This window comes from Homo sapiens, chromosome 8 (assembly GCF_000001405.40).
Source record: "Homo sapiens chromosome 8, GRCh38.p14 Primary Assembly".
NCBI classification, from domain to species: Eukaryota; Metazoa; Chordata; class Mammalia; order Primates; family Hominidae; genus Homo; species Homo sapiens.
The window spans coordinates 125,922,242-125,937,661 of NC_000008.11; the positions used below are offsets into that span (position 1 = coordinate 125,922,242).

Sequence of the window (15,420 nt, forward strand, 5' to 3'; positions counted from 1 at the left end):
ACAGGCTATTCTTCTTGCTATCAATATGTTTCCTTCTTATCTTAGTTGGCAAATTCAGAACACAAGCTTCAAATTAACCTCAGGTGGAACTCACCTGTGAGTAAAGGTTTTCCTGAAGCTTGCAAAAGCAGAGAGAGTCACAGTCATGCCCCTTGTTCAAAACACTTCTAAGCACATCAGCTCCAATTTCCAATTCTGCAGTTATTTGTTTAACTATATCCCTTTCCTGTAGACTGTGAAGTCCTTGAAGAATGGCACTGTATTTTGTTCATCTTTTTGATTCAGAACACTTAGTGTGGAATGAGCCTGAAATTATAAATTGAATAGATGAATAAATATACATAAATATAAATAGATACTGTTTTTCAAATGTTTATTTTCAACAGAAATATTGAACTCATTGTCTTTTGGTGAGTTGACTTTCATTTTTTGAGCACCATGCAAAATTATACTGGCTATTTTTCAAGGAATAAAACAATGGAAAATTATACCAGAAAGATGAGATTTCTTCACTTCCTCCTTTCTCCACTGTGGGTAAGTTTATTATTATTTTTTATTTCTGCCTTAACTATGGGCTGCTATAACATGCATAATTATTTAGTGGACTACTGGACTTAATGATAAGATCTGTCTGATACACAGGATGATGTCTTGGAACTGTCACAGCTGAGTTGGGAGAAAGATATAGCTCAAGATGAATGGCTGAATTCAGATTAAATCATCACTCTTTGGGCATCTACTAAAGATTGGATATGGTGCTGAAAACATCACCTTCATTATCTTAATAGTCAATTGACATTAGCACTCCCATAGTGCAGGTGTAGAAAGGGAGGCTTATAGAAGTGATTTAATTTGCTAGAGATGACCCAGCTATTAAGCATATGCTGAGTCCAGATATCTAGTTTCAAACAGACTGGAAATGGGCTGAGATTCAGAGAGGACATGGGAGTGCTTAGCTAGTGGATGTGTCTGCAAGATAGCCAAGTCCCTGGCAACCCTGAGGCTCTGTGATTTGTGTGGCTTGGTGAGGACCTCTACTGGCTAAACTTCCTGGGCTGATAAAATGCAGTGAGGATGGAGACTGGGGGGAAGAAGGGCAAAGGATCTGAGTTTGAGTATTAGTCTAGTCACTTATTGGATGCATTGGGTGTTTCTTGCTTCATGCCACTGTTCTGCCTATGTCCTTCCACGGCTCCCAAGTGCTCTTTGTACAGAGATCGTGAATGTGTCAGTTGCTGTATGGCCTGCCTCTCCTTCCCACTCCAGCCTCAACCCATTTCATACCCTGCTCCCTGCCTTGGGGCTGGCCATACCAGGAGGCTTCTTGCCTGTTCTCTCTTGCCTTTGCAAGTGCTGTATATTCTGCCTAGAATTCTCTTCTCATCTCTCTTGTGCCACCTAAAAAAAAGGCTTTTCATCTTTCTGCTCTCAACCCAAGCACCTGTTTCTCAAGGCAAGCCCTTCTGCTGCCCCAGGGCCAGCTCAGCTTCCATTATGAGTCCCTGATATTGACCTGTCTTCCTTTCCGTCAGAGCCCCTCACTTGTTTTGCAGGTAGCATTCACTAATGGATTAGGTAATTAATACTGGTCTTTCCTTTTAGACCGGAATCTCCATAAAAGCAGGGACAGTGTAGCATGGCTGGCACAGATCATGTTATCTACTCATAGACAGCTACTATCTAAACATTTGCTTGCCCTCTCTGAATCCCAGATAGTCTCCACGCTCTGTGAAACTAGATTATAGTAGTTGGCAAATCAAAATTTGTGATTCACTTTCAAAAAACTGTTTGCCATTTCTTCAGAGTACAAACTCAGTTCATATCTACAAACTCCAATGGGTCAAATGACTAATAGCGAATGAATGGAGAAGGAAGGAGTAGACACAACTGGTCTTATCATTGCTTAGCTGTCTGCAAGGCTTGAGCTGCAGAGTGCTTGCTATTTTGTAAGTTTTTGACCTCTGGAGGAGAATTCCAGAGCTGGTCTACTTATCTAATTAGGAGCCCATGTTCACAGTAAAATCAATTCTTCATGTAGTATGGGGTTGAGGGATCAGTAAAAGCATCGACTTTGGAACAAGACTGCCTGGATTCTACCACTTATTTGCTCTGTGAATTTAAGCAACTTACTTAACCCATCTCTGACTTAGTTTTGCCATCTGTAAAGTGGGGGATATTACATTATTTATGTTGTATGGTTGCTGTGAAGATTAAATAATTTATATTTATTTTACAAAGTGTTTATAATAGTTCCTGACATATAGTGTATGCTATATAAGTAATTTCTATTATTTTTATTCTTTTGGAGATGGGACATACTATGCCTTTTCAAGTGCCAGCCCCTATAACCACTTCCTTCCTAGGCATCCTCCCATTTCCCCCAGTAGCTGTAGCTGTTTCTGCCTCCCTTCTAATCTGAGTTGCTAAAATTTGAGTGTGTCTTATGTGTTGGTTTATGACAATATTGGTTGTTTCTTCCCTCTGTATTTTCCATTGCAAAGGCTTAGTTCTCCACTAGTAGGAAATAGTCCTGTTGTCTCAATTATACTTGGGCTGTGCCCCAAGAAAATTTGATTCTCCAGGTGCAATCAGGCAACAGGAACAATGTTGGGGAGGTGAGAGAGCTTGAGAAAGGTGGCTTTTGCTGGTGTGAGTCAATACAGCTCAGCTCCCCTGTGCTAAGTGGAGTTGCAAGTTCCAATGTGAGTCTGTGTGCTCACTCACTCTCCCCTGGCTCATCTCTCAGTGGGCTCCTTGGCTGGCAAGCTGGCATTACACAAACAGGAATGCTAATGAAATGCCTTTCCAAGATGGGTGCCAGGCAATTTAAACACAGAACTAGTTATTAAGGTTCTCTAATGGCATAAGAGAGTTGAGACTAAAGTCTGAGCTGGCCAAGGCAGAGAATGTTGTCTGGTATGGAGGACAGAATCCAGGCTGCACCAAGTAAGACATTGGTGACCTTAGGGAAAGTCCCTTCCTCTCTGTGGCCCTCTCCATGTGTTAAAGGAAAAAGTTCATTCATCCATTCAACATATATTTATTGAGCTTCTACTGTGTTCTAGGCACTGCTGGAGAGATGAACTCTCAGATGTATTATGTTGAAATCATTTTGTGAAATACATGACTGAAAGCTCAAATATGGTGAACTTGGGGACAGGAGTAGACGGACTGCATTATCTTAATCTGTGTAATCAACACATGGCAGAAAGCATGGTGCATAAGATGAGCTCTGGAAATATTTGGTGTTCTTTTAAAAATTCTGCTTTTGGCTTTCTTACTTTCTAAAATGTTTGTATACTATTTTATTGATGTAGTTTTTCATATTGATTATTTTCTTCCTTCTATTTACTTTGGGTTTACTTTGCATTTCTTTTTTCAACCTTTGAAGGTGGAAACATGAACCACTCTTAGTCTTTTATTTTTATAAAGTTGTAAAATTTCCTCTAGCACTGCCTTAGTTATGAATAATTTTTTTATTTGCTGTGTTTTTACTATGATTGTTTCAAATACTTTAATGTCCTTTGTGATTTCTTTTTCAACCTATGTGCTATTTGGAAGTGTGTTGTTTAATTTCTAAATATTTGTGTATTTTATGTTTTTAGTTGTTGAATTCTAATGTATTTCCTTTGTACTCAGAAATACAGTTGGTAAGCACTGTGGTATTTCCTGTGAGCTCTGGAAGAGATTGGCTCTATATATGTACAGCCCAGCTTCGGACCAAGGATCCACTCAGATTTCCCCATACAGCATTCTGAGGACTCTTGTCTGAATAGTACCCTTCTCTTTGTTAATTTGCTGTGCAAATTCCAGTTTGCATTCACAGCCCTCAACTTTAATCTCTGCCATCCCAGCTCAGCAACACTGCTGTGCTCTCCTTGGTCTCCATCTCCTTGTGACATGCAGATCACTGAAAGTTCCCTACGGCAGAAGGTTGGGAAAACATTGAGCTCACCACATGTTTGCTTTTTTGCTAGCATTATAGTCCTCCTCCAAAAAATGCTTCACCTATTTTGTTCCGTTTCATAGTTGTTTACCTTTGTGAAGGGAGGAAGAACAGTCTAGGTAACACCCATACTCTGTTGCAGTCAAACCCAAAATATTACTTTTTAATTTAATCTTATTTAAGTTGCTAATATTGACATAACAAGGTGGGTTCTGGAAGTTTAGGTTTTAAAATACATGTTTTTTAATTTTCAAAATGTGCTTATTTTGTTTTTACCAGGGCCATCTTTTTAGGTTTTTAATTTAACTTTTCTTTGCATTTCTAATTGTGATTTATTTATGTTTATGCATTTTGAAGAAAAAAATTATTAAATCATCTTTTTCTCCATTTGTGAGCTTCCATCATTTCGAGCAACTAAGTTGTACCTGCAATTGCTATATAAAACCTCTTTCTAACAATATCTGAATAGTGCTTTTTACTTGATGCTTTTTAAAGGTAACATAAAGAACTAGTTACAAATGACTAATTTAATACATAAGATCAACTCTGAATGACTTACTAATTGGTTTGCTTAAGCACAATGTTATCTTCTCACAGTAAAATGATATCCTGATAAGGCTATAACAGGTCGATGCCTCCCATCTCAGCCCACTCAGGTGACAGTGAGTCCTTTAGTAATGTATTCTGGGTAATATTGCTGTCTTGTGCTTGCTTAGATGTTCTTACTAACTCATGTCTGATTTTACACATTTTGCTGAATCTCTTCTGTGGTTCATGCTTGCCCATGCCAGGTGTGCCAAATAATTCTGTTTCAGATAAGTCACTACCTTGTATCTGTGTGGGAAGTGTAACTCCAGAGACTTCCCAAATTCTTTGTTTGTAATTCCTTATAGAACACCAATTATGAACAGCTTTCATTTATTGCACTTTTAAAAAAGCTATTTATGTTTCTATTGCCTATTGCATTCATCCATACAAATGCTGAAATTTGAAGGATTTTTTTTTCCTCCTTCAAAGTATACTCTGCAAAATTACTTTGCTTAAGCTCTTTGTTATCTAAGAATGGCTTCTCTTCATGGCAAGAAGAGGGGGTTAGGCTGCTTGGGTTTGGATGAAAAAATAATACAAGTTTATGCTCTCTAAAAAAAGCCTGTTTCACTTGGTCAAAGGTTATTGATGCTACACTTAATTCCTGTCTCATATTGTAAAATAATTCCTAGATGTAATCATCTTAGGTTTTGCCTTTACTTATTTAATACTCATTTAAGATGGCAAACATGATTTAGTAACATTTATTTTGGTTATTTGAAAGCTTTTTTTTCTTACTTATTGATTCTTTCATATATTTCTAATAGATAAGACTGCTAGCGCAGTGAATTCTGGTAGATGAGGTATTATTCTATCTTCTACTCACTTGTATTGATTCATCCAGGGGATAGAATTTAAAATCACAAATGCTACTATTTTAGGGAAAAGAATCATACTTCATACTCTGGAGGATACAAAATAAAGATTTCCAGTGCTCAAGTTGCTTAAAACATAGATAAAGGTCAGGCAAAATTACATGAAAATTAAATGACAACTCAAATTTTTTAACTGGAAAAAATTAAGGAAATTTTGTAAAAAATAAATGGTTGGGCAAATAATGTGGACAGTTCATAGAAGAAACTGAGATTGGAGTGGCTAAAAAAGCTTTTTATAGAGACTGTGTTGTCAATTGTATAACCTTTGTATACTTATTATACAAAGAAAAAAACCCTTGCTGCTTAAACCCTATGATTGTGTTTCTACGCAAAGGTTTAAAAGGCTCTTTGTTCTTTGAAATACAACTGGCCATGCTGTCTAAGTTACCGTCATATCTCCAACCTATTTAATTCATAACATCTCATCCCTCTGCTCTCTTTGCTCATCTTTTCATGTGCTTATTGGTTATTTGTATACCTTCTTTGGAGCTATGTCTATTCAAGTCCTTTGCTCATTTTATAAATGAGTTGTTTGCCTTTTTGTTGTTAAGTTGTAATAGCTTTTTATATTTCTGTATTCTGGATACAATAGAGAGCCTCATGCTTTCTAGAGCCCCAACTTTCCACTTTCATTGTTGCCTCCTCACTCGCAAGGCTGTCCAAGCTTCCCTTGATGCCAACAATGGGTTCAGCTCCATATTCTAATTCCAAACAAGGTTGCAGGCCACCATGGACTTCTATGTCCAGGTCATAAGTGCTGGGATAGGCTCCAACCACCCAAGACCCTGAACTGAAATAATGGGGTAAATAATCTTATTTGAAAGACTATATATATGAAAGATTTTTCATATATATGAAATATTATATATGAAAGATTTTTCATATACATTTTATATATATAAAAATATATATGAGAGAAAGAGAGAGAGACAGCACACTCACATTTGTTTCAGTGTTTACCATTAGAAGTGCTTTGGTTTTTTTTTTAGAAGTTTGGTGATGTTTCTGTGACCAAAAATATGCTGTAGGAAGTTTGTTTGTATCAATGAACCTATTTTGTTATAAATCCTTTCACTTAAAGTCACAGTTTTCAAGAACCTGTGGATGACATCGAGGACTTGTTGTATTTTCAATTCGTCCTCTTGTTTAATCCACATTATTACTCCATGGAGTAGATACAGTAATTTTTATTTATATTTCATATATGAGACTCAGTTATTGAGTAGGGGGAAGGTATAACCCAAGACTTCTGACTTGGATTCTAATGCTCTTTCTTTCACCCTCTACCTCATTTGGAGGTCTAAAAATTGGAAAACAAGACAAAGAGGATATAAAAGATAGTGTAAGACTTTTCTTACATAAAAAAAAAAGAGTCAGAAACAAAACCTTCATTTTTCAATGTGAAGGAAGTTTTTTTTGTGTGTTTTTGTTTTGTTTCCCCATGGTTTTGAGTTTTCCAACTTTCTTGCTTTCCCTCCTGGGCTAAAAATCCCATAAATTTCCTTCAACTGATTTCCAGCTCAATTATGCAAACTCAAGAGACTTGTGTAGCTTGAATGCATTAGAAGATAACCCTTAATTAGTGATGCTTGGGTGAAATCCTCAGGCATTGGTATCTCATTTGTTTTACTGGGGCTCTGGTATTTTACTTAAAGGATCAGCAGTGTGTAATAACAAGGTGAATTATGTGGTCATGACCTGAAACTCATTATGATTATCATAAAACTTTTGATTCTTTCCCCTTCCTTTGCCAAAGTCCTTGGAATAGGGGAATAACTTAGAATGTAAAACCACTGTGCCTCCAGATCTTTCTGACACAAATTCACTCCACAAATATTATCTATGCATGATCATAAAGCAATGATACTTCTTTTCTTTTGTCTAGGATGTGGTTATAAGGCACTTTGTTCACTAAAGTAGGACATGGATGACTGGAGGTGTCAGAAACAGGAATGGTACCTGCCCAAGGAAGGAGGGAAAGCTGGGGTGGACAGATGGCTGGTATACCTGGGATCTGATAGGGAAGGGCTAGACAGGTGGCTGGTACAGCTGGGATCTGAGTTTAACAGAAGTGCACAGGGATCTACTCAGAGGAAATGATTGAAAAGCCTGTGGGTTAACTGCATCAGGGACAACTGTCCACAAATCATGAAGCCCCAGTATCTGAGCTGAGTTGAAGGGCAGAGAGGAAAAGAAGTTAGGAAGGGCAAAGAAAAACAGGACAGTTTTATAGGAGTTAGATGCTTGAAACAAGAATTTGAAACAAGCTCAAGGAACATGTCAGAGATTCAGTTAACTGGAGTGGAGAATGAGATCCTGGCAGAACCAGTAGCGAATATTTCTTTATTCTGTATCTATGTATTAGACAAAACCTGCTCATATCACATCACAGGTAAGAGTAAATTTATCCATTAAATTCACAAAGGCTTTTTGAGCACTTATCATGTTTGTAGTAGGTGATGGGAATTCAACAGATGAAACAGAAAGGCATCCTGCTGTCAGGCAGTTTATATCCTAATGGAGGGCTAGAGACAATAAACATAATAAATAGTTGAAGTTAAATAGAGATGACATTTAGTATGTAAAAGGTATTGTGTAATGTGAAAAACGGGTTTAGGATAAACAATATTGAGAGTGCTAGGTGTTCAATCAAAATGAATGCAGACTTAGGTAAATGGAAACTTTAGTTAAACAGCAGGGAGAATGCTTCCATCTCAGAAATCTCAAGTGTCTCAAAGTCAAACAGAAGAGGACATATCTTTTGGAGAGAGGGAGAGGTAAAACTGACAGGGAAGTTTGTAGGGGCAAAAGGCAAGAGGGCAGGGTAAGAAGGTGGCAAAATCAGGTTGCTTCAGCAGAGAAATGTTTTTCTTTGTGGTCGGCTGATTCTCGGAATGAGTGTTGAGGAGGATATTCTGCACCTGAGGTGCTTAGTGCTTATTTAAACTTGAGGGCAAGTCAAAATGTAGGGGCCTGTAGGGAGGGGAGAAGTCTGGCTGAAGTTTGGTCAAGCCAACGTTAATGGGCAATGGTGAGCCCTTGATCACCAAGGAGACTGTTTATGTGTCATATTCAGTAGAGTGGTCCAGGAAGAGCTCATTGAGAAGGTGACATAATAGCAGAGTTGAAGTAAGTGAGAGAGCAAAGTCTAGAAAGCTGTGAGGAAGCAAAACATGCTGATATCAAGAGAAAAGCATTTTAGGCAGAGGGAAAAGCTACTGCAAGCACTGAGGTAAGAGTGCAGCTGTTGTGTTTGAAGAATAGGATTTTCCAGAGACTTCCCTGATAATATCTTCTATCCCACATGCTCCTTTGCAATGTGACCTTGCCATGTTACCATGAGCAAGTGGAGTTTATTACTCCATGCCCTCAAATCCTGGCAGGACTGGTAACTGCTTTAACCAGTAGAATATGGTAGAAGTGTTGATGGGCCAGTTCCAAGCATAGTCTTTAACTGGCTTGGCAATTTCTACTTCCTGCCTCCTATAACACTTGCTCTTGGGACTCTGACCCTCAGAACACTGAATGCCATAGCTGCTATGCTATAAGAAGCCCAAGGCATGTGGAAAGGCCATGGCCAGAGGCATGTAGGTGCTCTTGTCCACAATCCCAGCTCAGCTCTCAGCATCAACTGTCAGTCACTGGAGTGAGCAAGCTACCGTGGACATCAGCCCATGGATCCTTCAGATGACTTCAGACTCAGCTGACATTGGACTGTAACCACACAAGAAGCCTTAAAGCACAAATGCCCAGTTGAAGTCAGTTAATCCACAGACCCAATAGAGAATATAACAAATTGTTTTAAACTGCTTAATTCTGGGTGGCTTGTTATGGAGCAATAGATAACTAAAATAAATAAAAAGGAGAACATGGTAGCTAGAGGAATGTGAGCAAGAGGGAAATTAGCAGGAGATGAAGTCAGAGAGGACTTGGGAAGTTCAATAGGATATTTTCTTGTAATAACTTTGAGTTTTGCTTTGAGTGAAAGAGAGAGCTGTTCTGGGGTTGTGAAAGAGGAGTGCCATGATCTGACTTCCATTCTAAAAGGAGCCCTCTGGCTGCCATGTGGGGAATAAACTGTGCATACTTTGGTAACAATTCAGGTAAACAATGGTAAAGGGGTGGGAGATGAGAAGGTGTTGCTGTCTGTAAATATTTTGAAAGTAGAGCACAACAGTGTTTCCTCACAGATTGAGATATAAGAGATGAGATTGCCAATAATGTTTGAGATACTAGAAAAGGATGTGTCCATTTTGAACTGAGATGGAGAATACTGCTGGAAGGCAGGCTCAAGGAAGAAGACTAGGGGTATATTCGTTAGAAACACTGTTGGCCTTCTCAGTGGAAACATCAAGTAGGCAACAGGATACCATAACTTTGGAGCTGGTGAAGGTGTCAAGGTTGAAGATGTAAATACGGGAGTCAGCAACATGTGGGATTTTTAAAGTCATGAATTAATGAGATCCCCTAGGGAGTGAATGTAGTTAAGAGAAGAGAAGAAGACTGACTGATCCCTAACACTTTGCAGATAAAGCAACTGGGAGGAGACAAAAAATTAGCAAATTAGACTGAGAAGAAACAGTCAGTGACATAGGAGAAAAACCAAGACAAGGAATGTGCTGGAAATCAAGCAAAGGGAACATTTTTAGTAGGAAGAAGTTATCAGCTGGATCAAAAGCATTTAGGTCAAGTAAGAAGAGAACTGAGAATTGACCTCTGTATTTAGCAATGTGTGGTCTTAGCAGAATCATCTAATTTCCTCTTTCTGTTTCTCCTCATACACAACGCAATATTTACTGAGCATTTACTATATGTCAGGTACTTCCCAGGCTTTGGGGATAGTAAACCAAATAAAATGTTCCCTCAAGGAGTTTACAACCGTTCAATCGATTAAACAGTATTTACTGCACAATTACTACGTGTAAGACACTGCACTAAATACTATGAGAGATATAAATGTGGTGTAAGACATGTGTTTAACCTAATCGGAAACTTTAGACAGAAACACACAGACTTGTAAATTGCAGTACAAACAAAGCCAACGAGAAATGCCAAAATGAAGTATAAACTTTCAATAAATGGCAGCATATAAGACTAAATGCCCTGTGATGAAAGGATAAGTAGTCTAAATTGCAAAAATGTAGAAAAGCTTCATGAAAAGGCACACAAATAAAAAAGTGCAGGGTTGGGGAGCCTATGATATAGACATTGGAAGTCAATAAATGAGCAACTCTGAGGAGACCAGAAAATGAATATAAAAAATAAGTGCAACAACGTGGGTGAACCTGAAGGACATTTTGCTAATGAAATAAACCAGTCACAGAAGGAAAGATACAGTATGATTTGACTTACACAAATATCTAAAATAATCTCATAGAAGTAGAGAGTGGAAAGGTGGCTTCCAGGGGCTGGGAGGAGGATGAAATGGGGAGTTACTGTTCGATACGCATAAAGTTTCAATTATGCAAGAAAAACATGTTCTAGAGATCAGCTGTACAACATCGTGCCTATGGTTAACGATATTTTACACTTACAAATTTGTTAAAAGGACAGGTCTTATGGTAAATGTTCTTACTGCCATAAATGACAACAAAAATTTATTAATTATGAATTTCTTAAAAAGTAAGTGGAGCTACATCAAGAATGGATGGGGCCACTTGTATGACTTTGGAATTTGACCTTTTCTGTGCTATGGCAAGGGTGGAGTTTGGGGGATGAAGAAGTTTTAGACCATTGGATATATCATAAGGTTTCTATTTTAGGATAATTCAATCTAGTGGTGGAAGTTAGGATGGAGTGTGGATGGGGGATGACAGGACTCAGAAATAACACCACTGACATGGATTGCCACTTAGAATAATATAGGTATTTTAAAGCCTTTTCAGTCTCATGGAGGCTTTCCCTCTCCACTGATGTGTGTGTTCTTGTACATTTAGGGTGGGGTATGTGTGTGTTTAAAAAACATCTCTTTCTTAATGCATTAATTTGTAGGTACTCAGTTTTTGCTGCCAGAAATGGAATCCATTCATTTCACACTCTGGCTGTCACTAGTATTTAAGAATTTAACTGCAACGCTTGGGGTTTCCTTAGATTCTACAACAAAAAGAGCTTAATTTGTTTCAGGATTTACTTTTATCCTATTTTCTGCAGCACTGAATTTCATATTAGCCATATACTCTCGCCCATAGACAAAGTCCATGTGAAGGAATGCTGGAGAGACAACTGCCTGGCAGCAAAATGGACTGTGCCCTAATTTTACAAAAACTTCTTCTTAGAGGTTATAGAGGTGAGAAAAAAAAAACTGTATGTGTTGCTAGCATGAAGTTTGGTCTAAATGTGAAGTAGCCTTGACATCTGGCAATTTGCAGACATTTTGTACATTATAGGTACTGTAGTTCAAGGCTGGTCATAGGACCAGTGGACCAAGAAACAGGGATGTGGTTTGGGGGGCGAGGTAGATTCTCTCTAAGAGCAGTCAACTGTTATCAATTTTATGAAAAGATCAACATCTAAGAGTAAGGCCGGCCAGGACAGTGCATTTAAGAGTTAACCATGTCTTTTCTCAGAAAACGTGACAAAAAAACAAGTCTGGGAAAGTAATTTTTTTGTTCTCTTTGTGGTTTGGAGCTAAAAAGTGTAAATGGGTGGAGGTACGCTTGAGGTTTACATCTTCTTTTGTTTTTGCATAAAGATTTTAGTTCTTTATACTCTTGGGCACCTTTTGCTTACATACATCCCATTGGAGGTCAGCTTTGCCCTGCATGGACAGCAAACCACAGCACATAAAAAGTGCCACCAAAACAAAGTGAGGCTAATGTCACAGATACCACTAATTCCCCAAAGCCTAAAAGGGATGCTTACATTTTTCTTGTCCTTTAGTCTAAAATGTAGCTTTAGCCCAGAAGTTAAAGGGACAAGTTATCTTGTCATATCTATGAATAACAGAATGAAGTCCATAACAAAGTTTTGAAAAACTGTATAGATTAAAAATAATAATAATAGTAACCTCAGGACTATTGATACAAATAGGCAAACTACTGGTCAACCAGCAGCTGTATTTCCTAATGTTACACTTTGCCTACAGTTCTAACTTGTAACTACTAAACAGGAAGGTATTTTTTCCTTTCTCTCAGCTCACCCACCTCCTGTAATTTCTCTTACATTGACAGTAAGCAATTACAATACCTGCAAAAATAAAATGATAGGCCCCTAAAATGTATGTTTTGTATAACCACAACAGAAGGAAGAATCCCTAGCTTCCCCAAGACCAAATATAATTTTATTCAAAGCTTCTCAAACTACCTGTGGGAAAAGGATAATTTTATTTTTTTAAATTTCTAATGCTGATTCTTTCATAAAATAGAATAAAAATCAATTACTACAAAAATTATTAAAAGGGCATAAAATGCAGCTCTTTTTTATCATCAGATTCAACAGACATGAAATTTCTTTGCCAAATGTCTATAAAAGTTTCTAAAGACTTACTCTCAATTTCAGTACTCATCTTGTCAGAGATAAACATTTGCAGACTTGCATTAGCCTGTTGATGGCCTTGGAATATCACCTTTCTACAGTTAAATATTCTGAGTGAATATTGTGATTAATCTTTTTTTGAATGCACATTAATTGAAATCTATGTATGTATGTATGTATGTATGTATGTATGTATCTATCTATCTATCTATCTATCTATCTATCTATCTATCATCTATTTATTATCCATCCATCCACCTGTTTATCATCTATCTATGATTTACCTATCTATCCATCATCATCCATCTTTACTATGTATATTATTGCTTCCCTAGTTTGAGGTCATATGCTTAAATGCTATTTTATTCTATTTTCTTTTCTAAATTTGTTAAACGTGTGGCTACAAAAACATCTCTCACTAATGGATCCCAAACCAATTGCAAGAATGCTGGGAAGAATGTGTGCAACGTGTGTGTGTGTGTGTGTGTGTGTGATGTTGGTTATGCCTATAACAATTTACTGTAATGTGTTAAGAACTTGTGGGAGAGTAGTCACTTGGCTCTGGTTAGTGAATGTTCTTTTTATGTTTTCTGACTGCAGATTTTTAAGTAAATGATAAAAGTCACATTAAAAAGTGAATCTGTTTATATTTTAGGCTTCATTTCCTTTATTTCTTAATATTAATCTTAAGGGTAATCTTTTGATGGCAGAAATGTTTTTGGATATTCTTTGGTTGTACCTCAAGGTTTTCACAATGAATAGCTCAGCTGACCAATCTTTTTTCTTTTTTTCCGATGCTTTACTGCTCTTGATTTTTTCGTCACAGTGTTCATTTTTTAAAATTATGTTCCACTTAGTTTGAATTTTAAATTATTTATTACTTCTCATTTTTAAAGGTGAAGGACTTAGGTAACAATCTTTTTCAGTCCCTATGTCTTAATTCTGTTTTCTATGACCTGCAGAGACCAAAATTAGCATATCTAGGACTTACCACTCCTTGAAATTGCTTTGTTTATCCTAGATTTGTGTTGATTTTCATCTAAACCTTTGTCTTCTGAAAGTCTAAAAGGCAAAATCTGAAGCCATTCATCTTCTTGTATCTTTAATGTTACTTACCTTCCTCCTGGACTCGTGTAAGATTATCCTTGCATTTGGAGGGGAGGGAAAAATATTTTTCCATCTACTCTCTTCTAGATTCTCAGTTGAAGCTCTGCAACAAAAGATAGATTAATGAGCAAAAAACCAACAGAAGTTTACTAATGCGTATATCTCCTATGTACATGAGAGAAACTCAGGGATGAGTAGCTTAAAGGTTTGGTTAGAACTCGGACTTATATAGCAAAGGAACAATAAATTTTTAAAGAAGTGACAAGACAGAGGAAAGGGACCTTTAACCTCTAGGGATAGTAAATTGTGGAAATGCAAATATATGAAAAACTAGTCATAGATGAAGTCTAGTTGGTAAAGTTTATTATGCAGATCCTTCTGGTACCGTCCCATCTCCAGGATGACAAGGTTCTACAGTTGTCTCTGGTGATTAACTGTCGTCCTTCCTGGTACAGAGGTCAAGAGGAGCACTTTTGCAAATTTACTTCCTAATTTTAGGAAAACAGGTGGAGGGTGGAGAGCTTTTTTTTTTTTTTTGGGGGGGGGTTATCTATTTCTTCACAATTTTTTTACTCAAAATTGTTATTATGCCAAAGTGGCATTTTTGCTACCTGTGACATTTAAGGTCATAAAACTTAAAAATTAGAGGAAAATTTTTCTCTTTCAGTGTTACTTCTAAGAAAAAAATCAATGGCAAATTAAAATTAATGTCCACATGAGATTTCATATCTGGGATTTTAAAAGTAATATGCAGTGAAAAATCACATCTCTAATTACACAAAAATAAATACAGATCATGGAATAAAAACAAGAGCTAAAGAGTAAAGAGAAAAACGAGATAAAAACACATATGAAAATCTATTCTGAAACAGCACCTGGATTTGAGAAGAAAATTAAGTTGCTTTCTTGTATAGCATGGTAATTAAGAGCGTGGACTCTGGAGCCAGATATCTATGTTCAAATCTATCTGACACCATTAATGTAATTGTGACTGGTGTCAAATAACCTCCTTAAGTCTGAAGTAAGTGGGGATAAAAAGAATACCTTTCTCATGGTATCATGAGGAATAAATGATTTAATACATTTAAAGTGTTTAGAATAGTGGCCTAGGAACTCTAGGTATAAAGATGAATGTGACATACTTTATGTTCTTTGAGAGCTATCAGTAACTCTTATAAGCAAAATGTAAAACAGTGAAAGTTAAATGCTAGAAGATGGATAAATGATGGACAGATAGATGAGCATAGCAGTGTGGACATTAGAGTATCTATTCAATAAATAAAGAAGCTGAGACCCAAAGAGTTTGTGATCTTTCGGCTAGCAAGATCACAGGCTGAGAATACAACTTCTTTAGCCATCTCCAAGGAGAGAACCAAGGAGGGAGGCTTTTTTCCTCTGTGCAGCATAAGCTCAGTTTCTTTACCTACTAGA

At 37.2% G+C, this 15,420-nt stretch overlaps 1 long non-coding RNA gene across 1 annotated transcript in view; it reads right to left on the reverse strand.

The window, feature by feature from the left end:
- Positions 1–281: 281 nt before the first annotated feature.
- LINC00861 (long intergenic non-protein coding RNA 861) overlaps positions 282–15,420 on the reverse strand; it is a 28,675-nt gene continuing 13,536 nt past the window's right edge. Inside the window, exons 3-4 of the long non-coding RNA NR_038447.1 lie at positions 13,999–14,092; positions 282–306 (exon numbers count right to left, since the gene is read on the reverse strand). This is a non-coding gene — a long non-coding RNA (long intergenic non-protein coding RNA 861). The remainder of the gene's footprint in view (positions 307–13,998; positions 14,093–15,420) is intronic.